The 14117-nt window shown below is 47.3% G+C and overlaps 1 protein-coding gene across 32 annotated transcripts in view, besides 2 other annotated features; it reads left to right on the top strand.

Moving 5' to 3' along the window:
- The window catches only part of SHANK2 (SH3 and multiple ankyrin repeat domains 2), a 785381-nt gene that overhangs the window by 684504 nt on the left and 86760 nt on the right, over positions 1-14117 (top strand). The gene's annotated exons all lie outside the window — the stretch shown is intronic.
- Positions 9955-10685: an enhancer, noted in NCBI's record as "H3K4me1 hESC enhancer chr11:70404151-70404881 (GRCh37/hg19 assembly coordinates)". NCBI's record gives its function as "activates a minimal SCP1, AML or CMV promoter by ChIP-STARR-seq in naive H9 embryonic stem cells {active_cell/tissue: H9 hESC(naive)}" and the evidence as "EXISTENCE:reporter gene assay evidence [ECO:0000049][PMID:30033119]".
- Positions 10686-11416: an enhancer, noted in NCBI's record as "H3K4me1 hESC enhancer chr11:70403420-70404150 (GRCh37/hg19 assembly coordinates)". NCBI's record gives its function as "activates a minimal SCP1, AML or CMV promoter by ChIP-STARR-seq in naive H9 embryonic stem cells {active_cell/tissue: H9 hESC(naive)}" and the evidence as "EXISTENCE:reporter gene assay evidence [ECO:0000049][PMID:30033119]".

Here is a 14117-nt window from a genome sequence, read left to right as displayed (position 1 = left end):
GCCTGGCCTGGGGCGCCCCTGCCTGCTACTCGTGGCTTTGCTGAAAAGAACAGCTCCCGGCCGGGAGGAAGTGGGCGGGGGGGGCAGGAATCCGCTGCCCACATGGGAGAGGGGAGGTGCTGGGAGATGTATCCTCCCAGAAGGAACAACAACTCGAATTGGCTTTGGGGAAATTCAAACAGTTTCTCTCCAGCTGGAGGCTCCACCAAGAATAAGTTCCCCAGCTTCACGGAGCTCCGAGGATTGCAGCCGCCTCCAAGAATCCATTAAATGAGTTCTTCAGACTCGCTTTTAATGCTTTTCCGAGGTTATTAAACAGAGAAGTTCTCTGCAAGGAGCTTTCAGGGAGCTGTGAGAGAGGCAAGGAGGCTTCACCCACCGAGTGAGGCACTGCCTTGCCTGAGCTCTGTCCCTAAGCTCACTTCCAGGGCGGTTTCGAAGAGGAAGTGAAGATTCTTCCTGGTGCTGGAGACGGCGCCGCCCCTCGAAGGATCCCTGGCTCCAGCCTCCTCAGCTTAAGTCTCGCGGAAGAGGCTGCAGCTACAGCTGCCTGCGGGCCTGCTTTCTAGGTTATCCTTGTTGGAAGCTTTGCCCTGACCCTTTCACTGGATCCATTGCAGGCAGGATCGGAGCCAGACTCCACCACCCCGCTGCTGGCCTCACGGCAGTTTTGCACCCAGCCTCCAGTACTGGCCATCAGCTGATGGCCCAGACCCATTTCACATCCTGTCTCCCCATTAACTCTTTTGTTGCCCGTCTCCTCGCTGAGTTTTGGTTTGAATAGCTCAGTCCATTTGACGTGTTTGGGTTGGACAAATACATAGGGTGTCTGCAGCTTCCCTCCCAGCCCTGCAGCTATTCCAGGGTGTGGCATCTGTCTTAGTTCGGGCTGCCCCAGCAAAGCACCACAGACAGGGTGGCTGGGACAGTAGACGTTGACTCTCACAGTTCTGGAGTCCAGAAGTCCAAGATCAAGGTGTCTCAGGGTCTGGGTCTTCCTTCCATGGCTTGTAGGCGCTGCCTTCTCCCTGGGTCCTCCCGTAGTCGTCTGTCTATGTGTGTCTGTGTCCTCATCTCCAGTTCTTTTTTTTTTTTTCTTTTGTGAGACAAGAGTCTTGCTCTGTCACCCAGGCTGGAGTGCAGTAGTGCGACCTTGGCTCACTGCAACCTCCACTTCCTGGGTTCAAGCAATTCTCCTGCCTCAGCCTCCCGAGTATCTGGGATTATAGGCACCCGCCACCACACCCGGCTAATTTTTGTATTTTCAGTAGAGACGGGATTTCACCATTTTGGCCAGGCTGGTCTCAAACTCCTGACCTCGTGATCCACCCACCTCGGCCTCCCAAAGTGCTAGGATTATAGGCATGAGCCACCACGCCCGGCCTCATCTCCAGCTCTTATAAGGACACCAGTCAGCCGGGATTAAGGCTCATCCTCATGATGTCCTTTTAACTTAATTACCTCTCTACAGGCCCTGTCTCCATATAGAGTCACACCCTTGAGTACCGGAGGTTAGGTCTTCAGCATAGGAGTTAAGAGGGACACAATTTAGCCAATCACAGCTTCATAACAGATGCTCTGCAGACACCTCTCCATCAATCATAGCCCGGTGTGTTTAACTTAGAGTAGATGGTGGCACCACCCGATAACAATGGTGGTGGCATTCAGCAGCAGCTCAGAGGGTTCCAGAAGCATTCCTCCAGCCTCGAGGGGAAATGGTGCCTCTGGCTAACGGAGGGAACCATCAAAGCCGGGTATGGTTTCTTTGATCGTGTTTAGCCGCTTTGTGGCTGAGTAGAGATTCTTCCTTCTTCCTGTCCAGGTAATTAATGAGGGACTTCAAAGGCATGAGGCTTTTCTGCTCCAATCAATTATTCAGATTGGCATATCCAAAGGTCTCTGAACAGGAAATAGAGAGGAAATGGATTGCTAAGTGGTTATGATGGAGACTAAATGAATTACTTGTTAATCACCCTTGTCTGCTCTGGTAGTATCTGTGCAAGCCAGGATAGCTGCTCGGGGCACACTCACCATCAAACACGGGAGGGGAAGGGCAGGGTGGGGTAAATTTCACTCTTAGAAACACCAGAATTTCTTCCTTTTCAGGATCAATGTCACCCATATCTTGTCAATTGTGACTGCAAACTTCAGAAGGACTCAGAGTGGAAAGTCTTGGCAACCATGTTGCGGTTCAGACAGTGGGAGCCATGCTTCTGCGAATGAGCCTGGGGACTGGGGACTGTGGTCCCAGCCCTGGATTTGATGAGGGGAGTATCCCTGTCCTGCGAGGGTGCAGTGTCACTTTTCCACTCCCATTTGGGGTCAACTCTTAACAGCATCCCTGAGAAGTGAGGTGGTGTAAAGTCAGGGAAGTGTGGTCTTTGTCTTATTAAAAATAATGCGATGAGATGGACGATGGCAGAAGCTTCAGGGTAGACCATGGAGCTCATCATGGTATTTGATATGGCTTGGCTTTGTCCCCACCCAAATCTCATCTTGAATTGTAGCTCCCATGATTCCCATGTGTTGTGGGAGGGACCCAGTGGGAGATAACTGAATCATGGGGTCATTCTCCCCCATACTGTTCTCATAGTAGTGAACAAGTCTCATGAGATCTGATGATTTTATAAGGGGAAACCCCTTTCTCTTGGCTCCCATTCTCTCTTGCCTGCTGCCATGTAGAACATGCCCTTTCCCTTCTGCCATGATTGTGAGGCCTCCCCAGCCATGTGGAACTATGAGTCCATTAAACCTTTTTTTCTACATAAATTACCCAGTCTTAGGTATATCTTTATCGGCAGCGTGAAAACAGACTAATACAGTATTACTCTTTACATTGCTTTATGTTTGCGATTTTCCATTAGAAAAGGAACTTGAAAATTAAAAAAAATAATAATAATAATGCCTACTTCTGCTCCAACTTCTACTTGTGGCCAAGATGGAGAAACAGAAACTGGATTTACCTTTCCTCATGAAACAACTGAAAGAAAAGATAAAATATATAAAGTAATAGGTTTTACAACCAGACACCAGGTAATAAATGATAGTGATCACTAAAGCATGAGAAACAGATGGGATGAGCCCTATACTTGCCCCAGCTTCTTGCACTGAGCGTTTCCAGGCTGTGGGGCAGGGAGAGGGAACTCAGGCAGAGACTGGAAGAACATCCACATTGAAGACATTGAGGCCAGGCGTGGTGGCTCACGCCTGTAATCCCAGTGCTTTCGGAGGCCGAGGTGGGTGGATCACAAGGTCAGTAGTTCAAGACCAACCTGGCTAACATGGTGAAATCCCATCTCTACTACAAAAATACAAAAATTAGCCGGGCATGGTGGCACGCGCCTGTAATCCCAGCTATTCGGGAGGCTGAGGCAGGAAGAATTGCTTGAACCTGGGAGGCGGAGGTTGCGGTGAGCCGAGATCGCACCACTGCACTCCAGCCTTGGCAGCAGAGCAAGACTTCATCTCAAAAATAAATAAATGGATGGATGGATGGATGGATGGATGGATGGATGAAACTGCTTCCAGGTGACTTAACTACACCCAGAACAAAGCTCAAGACCAGGATACAGAACTACCCAGCGCCCCCAACAAGTACAATTCATGATGTCTGGCATCCATTCAGAAATTCCCAGTCTTGCAAAGAAGCAGGAAAATACAGCCCGTAAGGAAGAGAAAAATCCATTATCAAAATTGACTGGGGATTAACACCGATGTTAGAGTTAGCAGACAAGGATATTAAAAGAATCATTAAAACTGTATTCCATATGTCCAAAAAGTTAAATGTAGACACAGAAGATATTTTGAAAGCCCACTGGAATGTCCATTTTTAAATGGTTAATATGATAAATTTTGTTGTATATATTTTAGCATAAAGCAGTTCTTTACATTTTAACCCAAATCAAACTTCCAGTGATGAAAACCACAGTGTCTGAGATGACGGATACACAGGATGAGATCGAGGGTAGATTAAATGTTATAAAGTAATAGTGAACTCAGAGAAGTCTCAATAGAAACTATCCTGAGTGAAACACAGAGAAAAAAAAAGAATTCTTTTTAAAAGAACATCAGTCAGTGAGCTGCAAGATAGCTTCCAACAGCCCAATATACATGTAAGTAGAGTCCCTGAAGAGGGGGCGATTGTAGGGGGAGGGGAGAAAAAATACTTGAAGGCTGGGTGCGGTGGCTCATGCCTGTAATCCCAGCACTTTGGGAGGCTGAGGCGGGCAGATCAGTTGAGGTCAGGAGTTCGAGACCAGCCTGGCCAACACGGTGAAACCCCATCTCTACTAAAAATATGAAAAGTTGGCTGGGCATGGTGGTGGGTGCCTGTAATCCCAGCTATTTGGGAGACTGAGTCAGGAGAATCTCTTGAACCCAGGAGGCGGAGGTTGCAATGAGCTGAGATCGCACCACTGCACTCCAGCCTGGGCAACAGGGTGAGACTCCATCTCAAAAAAAAAAAAAAAGAAAAGAAAAGAAAAATATTTGAAGAAATAATGAGGGAACTTTTTCCAAATTTGAAGTAAACAATGAACTCACACACCCAAGCAGCTCAATAGACTCCAAGCACAAGACACATGAGAGAAAAAGAAACAAAAACACACCCAGGCACATAGGATTCAAATTGCTCCAAATTAGAGATAAGGACAAATATGTTAAAAGCAGCCACATGGGGATAAAAGGACACGTGACACATGAAGACGAAAGAGAAAGATGACAGCAGGCATAGTGTCAGAAGCAATGCCAGTGAGCAGATCGTGGACAAATACCTTTACAGTATTGAAAGAGAAGAAAAAACAGAATTATTCAACAGAGTTATTTCAACATAATTCAAACAGAATTATTTCAACAAAGGTAAAATACTTTTGAAAAATACAAAAGGTTTAATCATTCATCACCAGCAGGTACACTATAAAGAATATGAAAGGTTGTCTTTCAGATAAAAAGACAGTGCCTGGGGTCGGGAGTTCAAGACCAGCCTGGCCAACATGGAGAAACCCCATCTCTACTAAAAATACAAAATTAGCCAGGTGTGGTGGCATGCACCTGTAATGCCAACTACTCAGGAGGCTGAGGCAGGAGAATCACTTGAATCCAGGAGGCGGAGGTTGCGGTGAGCCAAGATCACACCATTGCACTCTAGCCTGGGCAACAAAAGCAAAACTCCATCTCAAAAAAAAAAAAAAAAGTGACCACAGATGGAAATACACCAAGGAAGGAAGGACTTAGCTGCATGGCTATATATGTAAAATTTGTTTTGTTTAATTCTTTCGAAAGATAACTGTCTTTAAACAGAAGAATAAATGTAGCTTGGGGATTACGACATGGAAAGATCGTAGGTGTGACAACAATGGCACAAAGTCTAGGAGGGGAAGAGTGGAAGTGTACTGTTGTAAGTTCTTGTATTGTACACGAAGTGGTAGAACATCAGCAGTGATAAGTTAAGGGTGTCTACTATAAATATAAATTCTAAAGCAACTGCTGAAATAACAAAACAAAGAATAATAGCTGATAAGGTGACAGAGGAAATAAAATGGAATCATAAAAAATTATCAACCCGGCCAGGCACAGTGGCTCACACCTGTAATCCCAGCACTTTGGGAGGCCAGGGTGGGCGGATCACGAGATCAAGAGATCGAGACCATGCTGGCCAACATGGTGAAACCCCTCTCTACTAAAAATACAAAAATTAGCCAGGCGCGGTGGTGGGTGCCTGTAATCCCAGCTGTTCAGGAGGCTGAGGCAGGAGAATCGCTTGAACCCAGGTGGTGGAGGTTGCAGTGAGCCGAGATCGTGCCACTGCACTCCACCTTAGTGACAGAGCGAGACTCTGTCTCAAAACAAACAAACAAACAAATTATCAACCCAAAAGAAGGCAGAAAATGAGAGAATTGGCGGGGGTGGGCAAAATATACAAGGGACAAATGAAAAGCAAAATGGAAAGAGGACAGAGTTAAACTTCCTATCAATAATCACATATTAAATGCAGACGATATAAACACCCTTATTTTAAGGGCAGATTCTTCAAGTTGAATAAATGCTCACCTCCAAGGAGCACTCGCTTTAATTATAAAGACACAAAAGAGTTAAAAGTAAGAAGGTGGAAAGGCATATACCACATTAACACTAATCCAAAGAAAACTGGGATGACGATATTAGTATCAAAATAGATTTTAGAACAAAGAATGTTAACAGTATTAAAGAAGGTTATTTCATTATGGTAAAAGGGTCAGTTCTATGGAAGGACATTAAAAACACTAAACATGTATGTACCTAATAACAGAGCCTCAAAATACATGAAGCAAAAAATAGACCTGCAAGGAAAAATAAATAAAACTACAAGTATAATCACTTCTCCTTCTGTAACTGATGGAAGTGTACAGAAAGTCAGCCGGGATATAGGAAACCATGAACAAACCCATCAACCAGCTTGACTTAACTGACAGTTGTGGAAAGAATCCTCTGTGCTTTGTTTTCAAGTGTACTTGGAAGGGTTATTAAGATAAACCATATTTTAGTCCATAAAACAAGTCTCAATAAATTTGGAACTATTCAAGTCATACAGATGTGAGCTCTAACCAAAACGGAATCGTATTAGAAACCAGTAAGAGAAAGATCTCTAGAAAATCCCCCAGATATTAGGAAAGTAAATAGTATTATTTTAAATAACACCGGGATCAAAGTAGAAATCAAATGGGAAATTAGAAAATATTGGAACCAAATGAAAATGAAAGTACAACATATCAAAATGTGTGGAATGCCTCTAAAGTGTCTGTAAGGGAACATTTCTGGCACAAAATATCTATACTAGAAAAGAAGAAAGGCCTCAGATCACTGCTTCAGCTTCTACCTTTAGAAGCTAAAAGGAAAAGAGCAAATTAAAACCAAAGTAAGGCTAAGTGTGGTGGCTCACTCCTGTAATCCCAACACTTTAGGAGACCAAGATGGGAGGATCACCTGAGGCAAGGAGTTCAAGACCAGCCTGGGCAACATAGTGAGACCCCCCCTGCCATCTCTACAAAAAGTTAAAAACTAGCTGGGTGTGACGGTGCACGTCTGCAGTCCTGGCTACTCTGAAGGCTGAAGTGGGAACATCACTTGAGCCCAGAAGTTTGAAGCTACAGTGAGCTATGATTGCACCACGGCACTCCAGTCTGGGCAACAGAGTAAGACCCTGTCTCAGCAACAACAACAACAAGCAAGCAGAAGAAGTGATTAAGCTCACAGCAATCAATGACATAGAAAATAGAAAAACAAGGAAAATGGAGCAACCAAAAGTTGGTTCTTTGGCAACGTCGAGAAAATCGATGCACTTTGGGAGGCCAAGCTGGGCGATCACTTGAGCTCAGGAGTTTGAGACCAGCCCGGGCAACATGGCAAAACCTTGTCTCTACTGAAATACAAAAATTAGCTGTGCGTGGTGGCACATGCCTGTAGTCCCAGTTACTCAAGAGGCTGAGGCAGGAAGATTGATTGAGCCTCAGAGGTAGAGGCTGCAGTGAGCTATGATCACACCAGTGCACTCCAGCCTGGGTGACGGAGTGAGACCATGTCTCAAAAAAATAGAAACCTCTAGCCAGGCTGATCCAGAAGGAGAAAAGAGAAGACACACATAGCCAACAGCAGAAATGAGAGAGGAAGAATCCTGCAGATTCCTACTCTGTTGAATTGCCTTTGCCCTTTATCAAAAACCCGTTCTTCGTGTGTGTGTGGGGCTATCTCTGCGCTCTCTTTTCTCTTCCATTATCTATTTGTCTAGCTTGGTGCCACTGTCTTGATTACTGTATCTTTATAGTAAGTGGGCCGGGCACCGTGGCTCACGCCTGTAATCCCGGCACTTTGGGAGGCCGAGGCAGGCGAATCACTTGAGGAGTTTGAGACCAGCCTGGTTCAACATGGTGAAACCCATCTCTACTAAAAATACAAAAACTAGCTGGGTGTGGTGGTGGGTGCCTGTAATCCCATCTGCTCAGGAGGCTGAGGCAGGAGAATCGCTTGAACCCGGGAGTTGGAGGTCACAGTGAGCCGAGATCGTGCCACTGCGCTCCAGCCTGGGTGACAGAGCAAGACCCAGTCTCAAAAAAAAAAACAAACGAAAAAAAGTCTTGGAATCAGGTCAAGTTAGTCCTCCAACTTTGTCCTTTTTTACAGTTGTTTTGCTTACTCTAGATATTTTGCATTTCCCATGAATTTTACAATCAGCTTGTCCTTTTCTACCAAAAAAAAAAAAAAAAAAAAAAAAAACCCTACTGGGGATGTGACAGGAATTACATTGAGTCCATAGATCCAGTTGGGAGAGATTCAGTCTCCTGCCACATGATCTAAAACCTCTCCATTTATTGAGATCTTCCATTTCTCTCAGCCATGTTTAATGCTTTTGCTATACAGGTCTTGGCACATCTTTTGTTCTATTTATTCCTAGTTTGTATTTTTTGAAGATATGGTAGAGGTATTTTCGAATTTCTGTTTGTGATCATTTTTTGCTAGTATATAGAATTACTCACCGGGGTGTCCAGAGGATCCAGGACATTCTGCTCCACTTGAAATACAACCCCAAGCCGAGCACGGTGGCTCACGCCTGTAATCCAAGCACTTTGGGAGTCTGAGGCGGGCAGGTCACTTGAGGTCAGGAGTTCGAGACCAGCCTGGTCAACATGCCAAAACCCTATCTCTACTAAAAATCCAAAAATTAGCTTGGCGTGGTGGTGTGTGCCCGTAATCCCAGCTACTTGGGAGGGTGAGGCAGGAGAATCACTTGAACCCGGGAGGCGGAAGCTGCAGTGAGCTGAGATCACGCCACTGTGCTCCAGCCTGGGCAACAGAGTGAGACTCTGTCTCAAAATAAATAAATAAATAAATAAAGCAACCCCCCAGAATATGGGTGGTCTGGGGCAGGAAGAGGAAAGGGCTGTTTTGTGTGAGGGCTCTTTTTTTGGAGTCTGATCATCTACCATTTGGGCAGGAGGGGACTGGGCAGGGCGCACCGTCTTCTGTTTTGGGGAGAGGTTACGATGCACGTCCTCCTTGGAGGACAGCTCATCAATTCCTATGAAAATGATCGATGCAGATGCCCTCTGGCCCAGCCTCTGTGCTAACAGGACTGGATCCCACAGCTCTACTTGTCCAGGTGTGTCCCCAGGAAAGCGCGGGCCAGGTAAGCTATGGAGCGCCCAGTGTGAGGAGTGCCGTGCCACTGTCAGAAAGCTGAGGCGGCTCTGGGGGTCCTGCTAGGGAATGATCTCCCGAGTAAGTGATTTGAGGTGAAAAAAGCCAGGAGCAGACAGACTGTTAACTGTGTTGCTATTTGTGTGAGAAAAAGAAGCGTGGTGTGTGGAAACTCTCTGAACGCTCTCTGCATTGGTTTCTTTTGGTAAAGCTAAAAGTGTTCTAAAAAAAATAGGGTCTATGGGCCGGGTGTGATGGCTCACGCCTGTAATGCCAGCACTTTGAGAGGCCGAGGCAGGTGGATCACTTGAGGTCAGGAGTTCAAGACCAGCCTGGCCAACATGGTGAAACCCCATCTCTACTAAAAATACAAAAAATTAGCCGGGTGTGGTGGCAGGTGCCTGTAATCCCAGCGACTCAGGAGGCTAAGGCAGGAGAATAGCTTGAACCCTGGAGGCAGAGGTTGCAGTGAGCCGAGATCACACCACTGCACTCCAGCCTGGATGACAGAAAGAGTCTCCATCTTGGAAAAAAAAATATAGCGTCTGTGAAATGAGAAAATTGTTATTAAGAGTCTCCGAAATGAGGAAATCGTTATTAAGAGGCGTGTGTGTGCACATTGCCCCGAGCACATCTCTCTTCCGTGTGCAGACGCGCTGCAGGCCGACTCCAACGGGGGCTGCTTTCTCTCCATGCAGCAGCTGTGCTGCTGTTTTCTTTCACGTCCTCCAGGAAGCCGGAGCCCTCCTGTGCTCTCCTGTAGCTGCCTCATCCCTGCGCTCTGGGCCGTCAGTGTGTCTTTCTGGTCGCCTCCCGCTCAGGTGTGCACAGTCCTGTCTCTTTCGGTTCACTCACCCAGTGCCCAAGTGTAGAATCTGGCTCTCTGCAAAACTCAGGGGCCCAAGGTGCATCAGGCCCTGGACTGACTACCTCCCCACGTGGCCTCCCAGCTAGCATCCCCATGGGGGAGCACTGATCTTGCCTCTGTGTTACAGACGAGGAAACTGAGGCACAGAGAGGTAAGCCACTTGTCTAAGACCATCCAAGTGAGAGCTGGCAGATCCAGGCTTGGAACCCTGGCAGGCTGGCTCCAGCCTGAGCTCCGAAGCTCTGTCCAGGCACTGTCTTGAAGGCCAGCTCTGTGGCGGTGACAGGCACGACTGGGCTGGGTCGTGCACGCCGAATGGGCTGAGCCCGATGCTGACGCAGGGGGAAGCCGGCTGCTCCCTTCCTGCTGAGAGCTCCCGTGGCATTGTCCAGAGGGCAGGTACAGGTGTCCCCCACATGACATCAAGCCCACAAGCCCATGGCCTGACGCTCCTACCGAAGCCCCAGTGGGCAGGTGAATGAGCCTCCAGTCGGGGGGCCAGGGGGCTCCCCCTCGCACACCTCCAGATAGAAAGAACCTCTCCGAGAATCCCCAGAAAGACCCAGGCCTCCTTGGTGGGCAGCTGGACCCCTGCCACGGAACAGCCAGAGAGCATGGACCCCGGGCCCCCTCACGGTCTCGCCTCCTCTCCCTTCTCCCCTGGCATTTCCTTGCTCAGCAGATGAAGGATGATCAGAGTTCCTGGTGGCATTTGTTCTCAATTGGTATTTAACATATTTGCCAAAGACTGTCATTTTGAAGGGGAAAGTGTTCAAATAGTAGCAGTGACTCAGCCCCGGCTCGGCACGCCTGGGAGCTGTGGCTGCAGAAAGCCCAGCTGCAGGGTCCAGGTGGGCTCAGATGCACTGGGCAGCTGTGTGCATGAAGAAAGCCGCTTGTCCGTTGGAAACGTGCAGGCCCAGCCTCCTCGGGATCACTGGGGATCTCCGGAACCACTTGGGCCTTTGCACAGGAAAGCCCAGGTCAGGGGGCTTTCTGCTTGTCCTTCCAGACTGTGGGAATCTTGGAGGACACAGCTGTGAGGGCCCCCCACCCACAGCTCCCCCAGGCCCCACTGTCAGCTCTTGCCCTGGCCCCGCGGTGCTGCCAGCCTGCTCCCTGCTCCCGGCTTTAGCAGCAAGACCGACATCAAGCTCTGGAATGAGCCTCCCAAGGGTCACATCCAGCCTCAGAGCCAGGACTGCCAACTCCATCTGGGCTCCTCCCCCACTGCTGAGCATCCAGAACATCTGTCTGGAAGCTTCCATATGGAACGCCCTCCATGTGAGTCCCTTCTTAGGAGGAGGTGGTGGTTAGCAGCAAGAGCCTCAGGGTGGGCTGGCCTGGGTTCAGTCCCCGCCCTGGAACTCACATGTGATCATCTGTTTGCTTGCTTGCTTTTTGTCTGTAATTCGTGAGATCCTGAGGCCAGTTGATAGCTTCATTCCCAGCACCCAGGACACAGCCTGCATCTAGGAGGCACTTGGTAAATATTGAGTGAAGAGGTGAATGAATGAATGAATGAATGAATGAATGAATGAATGAGGCTTTTAGTGCAATGCCTGGTATGTGGTGAGCACTTGAAATATGGAAGTGGTTGGGTCCTTCTGAGTCACACCAGCAATGCCACTACATTTATGGCCCTGGCTTTGTAAAAATACAGTCAGGCTCGCCTAGGTGTGGTGACTCATGCCTATAATCCCAGCACCTTGGGAGGCCAAGGGCAGGAGGATCACTTCAGCCCAGGAATTGGAGACCAGCCTGGGCAACACAGCAAGACCCCATCTCTACCAAAAAAAATTTAAAATGAGAAAAAATGAGGCCAGGAGCGATGGCTCACTTTAGGAGGCCAAGGCGGGCGGATCACTTGAGGCCAGGAGTTAGAGACCAGCCTGGTCAACATGGAGAAACCCCATCTCTACTAAAAATACAAAAATTAGCTGGACGTGGTAGCACATGCCTGTAATCCCAGATACTCAGGAGGCTGAGGCAGGAGAATTACTTGATCCTGGGAGGCTGAGACTACAATGAGCTGATTTCACACCACTGCACTCCAGCCTGGGTGACAGAGTGAGACCCTGTCTCAAGAAAAAAAAAAAAAAAAGAAAAAAATTAGCTGGGCATGGCGGTGGGTCCCTGTAGTCCCAGCTAGTCAGGAGGCTAAGGCAGGAGGATCACTTGAGCCCAGGAGTTTGAGGCTACAGTGAACTGTGCCTGCATCCTGGCAACCCAGCCTGGGCAACAGAGCAAGACAAAAAAATAAAGGAAAGCTAGAGAGAGAGAGAGAGAGAGAGAGAGAGAAAGAAAGAAAGAGACAGAGAGAAAATAAATGTGATCAGGCTGCACGTTAAGTGCTTATAGCAGCTTTATTGCCAAAAACTGGATGTAGCCTGGATGTCCTTCAGTAGGTGAGTGGTCAAACAAACTGTGATATATTCAGACAATGGAAAAGTATTCAGCAATGAAAAGAAATGGCTATCGAGGCATAAAAAAGAAATGAGGTGTATTGAGTCACAAAATATATGGAGGAAACTTAAATCCGTATCATTAAGCAAAAGAAGCTAACCTAAACAGGCTACATTGAAAACCTGTTGTTCAGTGTAGCCACCTTTATCAGTGATCTCAGCTAGATCTTCTGGAGAACTTGCTGCAGCTTCTCCATCAGCACTTGCTGTTTCACCTCGCACTTTTATTTTATGGATATGGCTTCTTTCCTTCAACCTCATGAATCACCCTTGCTAGCTTCAGACTTTTGTTCTGCAGCTTACTCACCTCTCTCAGCCTTCATAGACTTGAAGAGAGTTAGGGCCTTGCTGTGGATTAGGCTTTGGTTTAAGGGAATGTTGTGACCGGCTTGATTTTCTATCCAGACCACTGAAACTTTCTCCATTTCAGCAATGAGGATGCTTCACTTTCTGATAATTTGTATGTTCACTGGAGTAGCGCTTTTTTGTTGTTGTTGTTCTTTTGAAACAGGGTCTCACTCTTTCACCCAGGCTGGAATGCAGTGGCATATTCACAGCTCACTGCAGCCTCAAACCCCTGCACTGAAGTGATCCACTGCCTCAGCCTCTGGAGTAGCTGCGACCTACAAGCACATGCCACCATGTCCAGCTAATTTATTTGTTATTTTTCATATAGATGGGGTCTCAAACTCGAGGGCTCAAGTGATCCTCCCACCTTGGCCTCCCAAAGTGCTGACATTACAGGCGTGAGCCGCCCCACCCAGCCCAGAGTAGCACTTTTAATTTCCTTCTAGATCTTTTCCTTTACATTCACAACTTGGCTAGCTTTGGCACAAAAAGCCTAGCTTTCAGCCTGTCTCAGCTTTCAACATGCCTTCCTCACTAAGCTTAATTGTTTCTAGCTTTTGATTTAAAGTGAATGATGTGTGACGCTTCCTTTCACTTGAACACTTAGAGGCCATTGTAGAGTTCTTAACTGGCCCCATTTCAATAGTGTTGTGTCTCAGGGAGTAAGGAGGCCTGCACAGAGGGAGAGAGATGGAGGAGTGGACAGTCGGTGGAGCAGTCAGAACACACAATATTTATCGATTAAATTCACCATCTTATTTGAGTGTGTTTTACGGCACCCCCAAAAAAATCCAATAGTAGCATCAAAAAGTATAGATCACAGATCACGATAACAGACAGAAAGTTTGGAATATTGTGAGAATTATCCAACATGTGACACAGAGATGCAAAGTGAGCACGTGCTGTTGGGAAAATGGTGCTGATGGGCTGACTCTCTGTGGGGTGGCTGCAGGCCTTCGATTTGTTAAAAAAAAAAAAAATGCAATGTTCGTGAAGTGCAATGAAGTGAGGTGTGCCTGTATATGACATTCTCAAAAAAAAAAAAAAATGGAGATAGTGAAAAATCAGCAGTTGCCAGGGATTGGGGGCAGGGAGGGTGAAAGATGGGGCACAGCCATTGTTGGGCAGTGGCGCTCTTCTGTATGGCACTGGAGTGGGGGAACGGGGCGTTATAGATAGTTACAACCAACGAATATACAATGCCCAGAAGGAACCCTCTGATGACTGTGGATTTAGTTAATTATAATGTGTCAGTATCGGTTCATTAA

The sequence above is a fragment of the Homo sapiens genome, chromosome 11 (assembly GCF_000001405.40).
Source record: "Homo sapiens chromosome 11, GRCh38.p14 Primary Assembly".
Classification (NCBI taxonomy): domain Eukaryota; kingdom Metazoa; phylum Chordata; class Mammalia; order Primates; family Hominidae; genus Homo; species Homo sapiens.
Note: the sequence above shows the minus strand (reverse complement) of the source record. Positions and strands in the feature narration are given on the sequence as shown.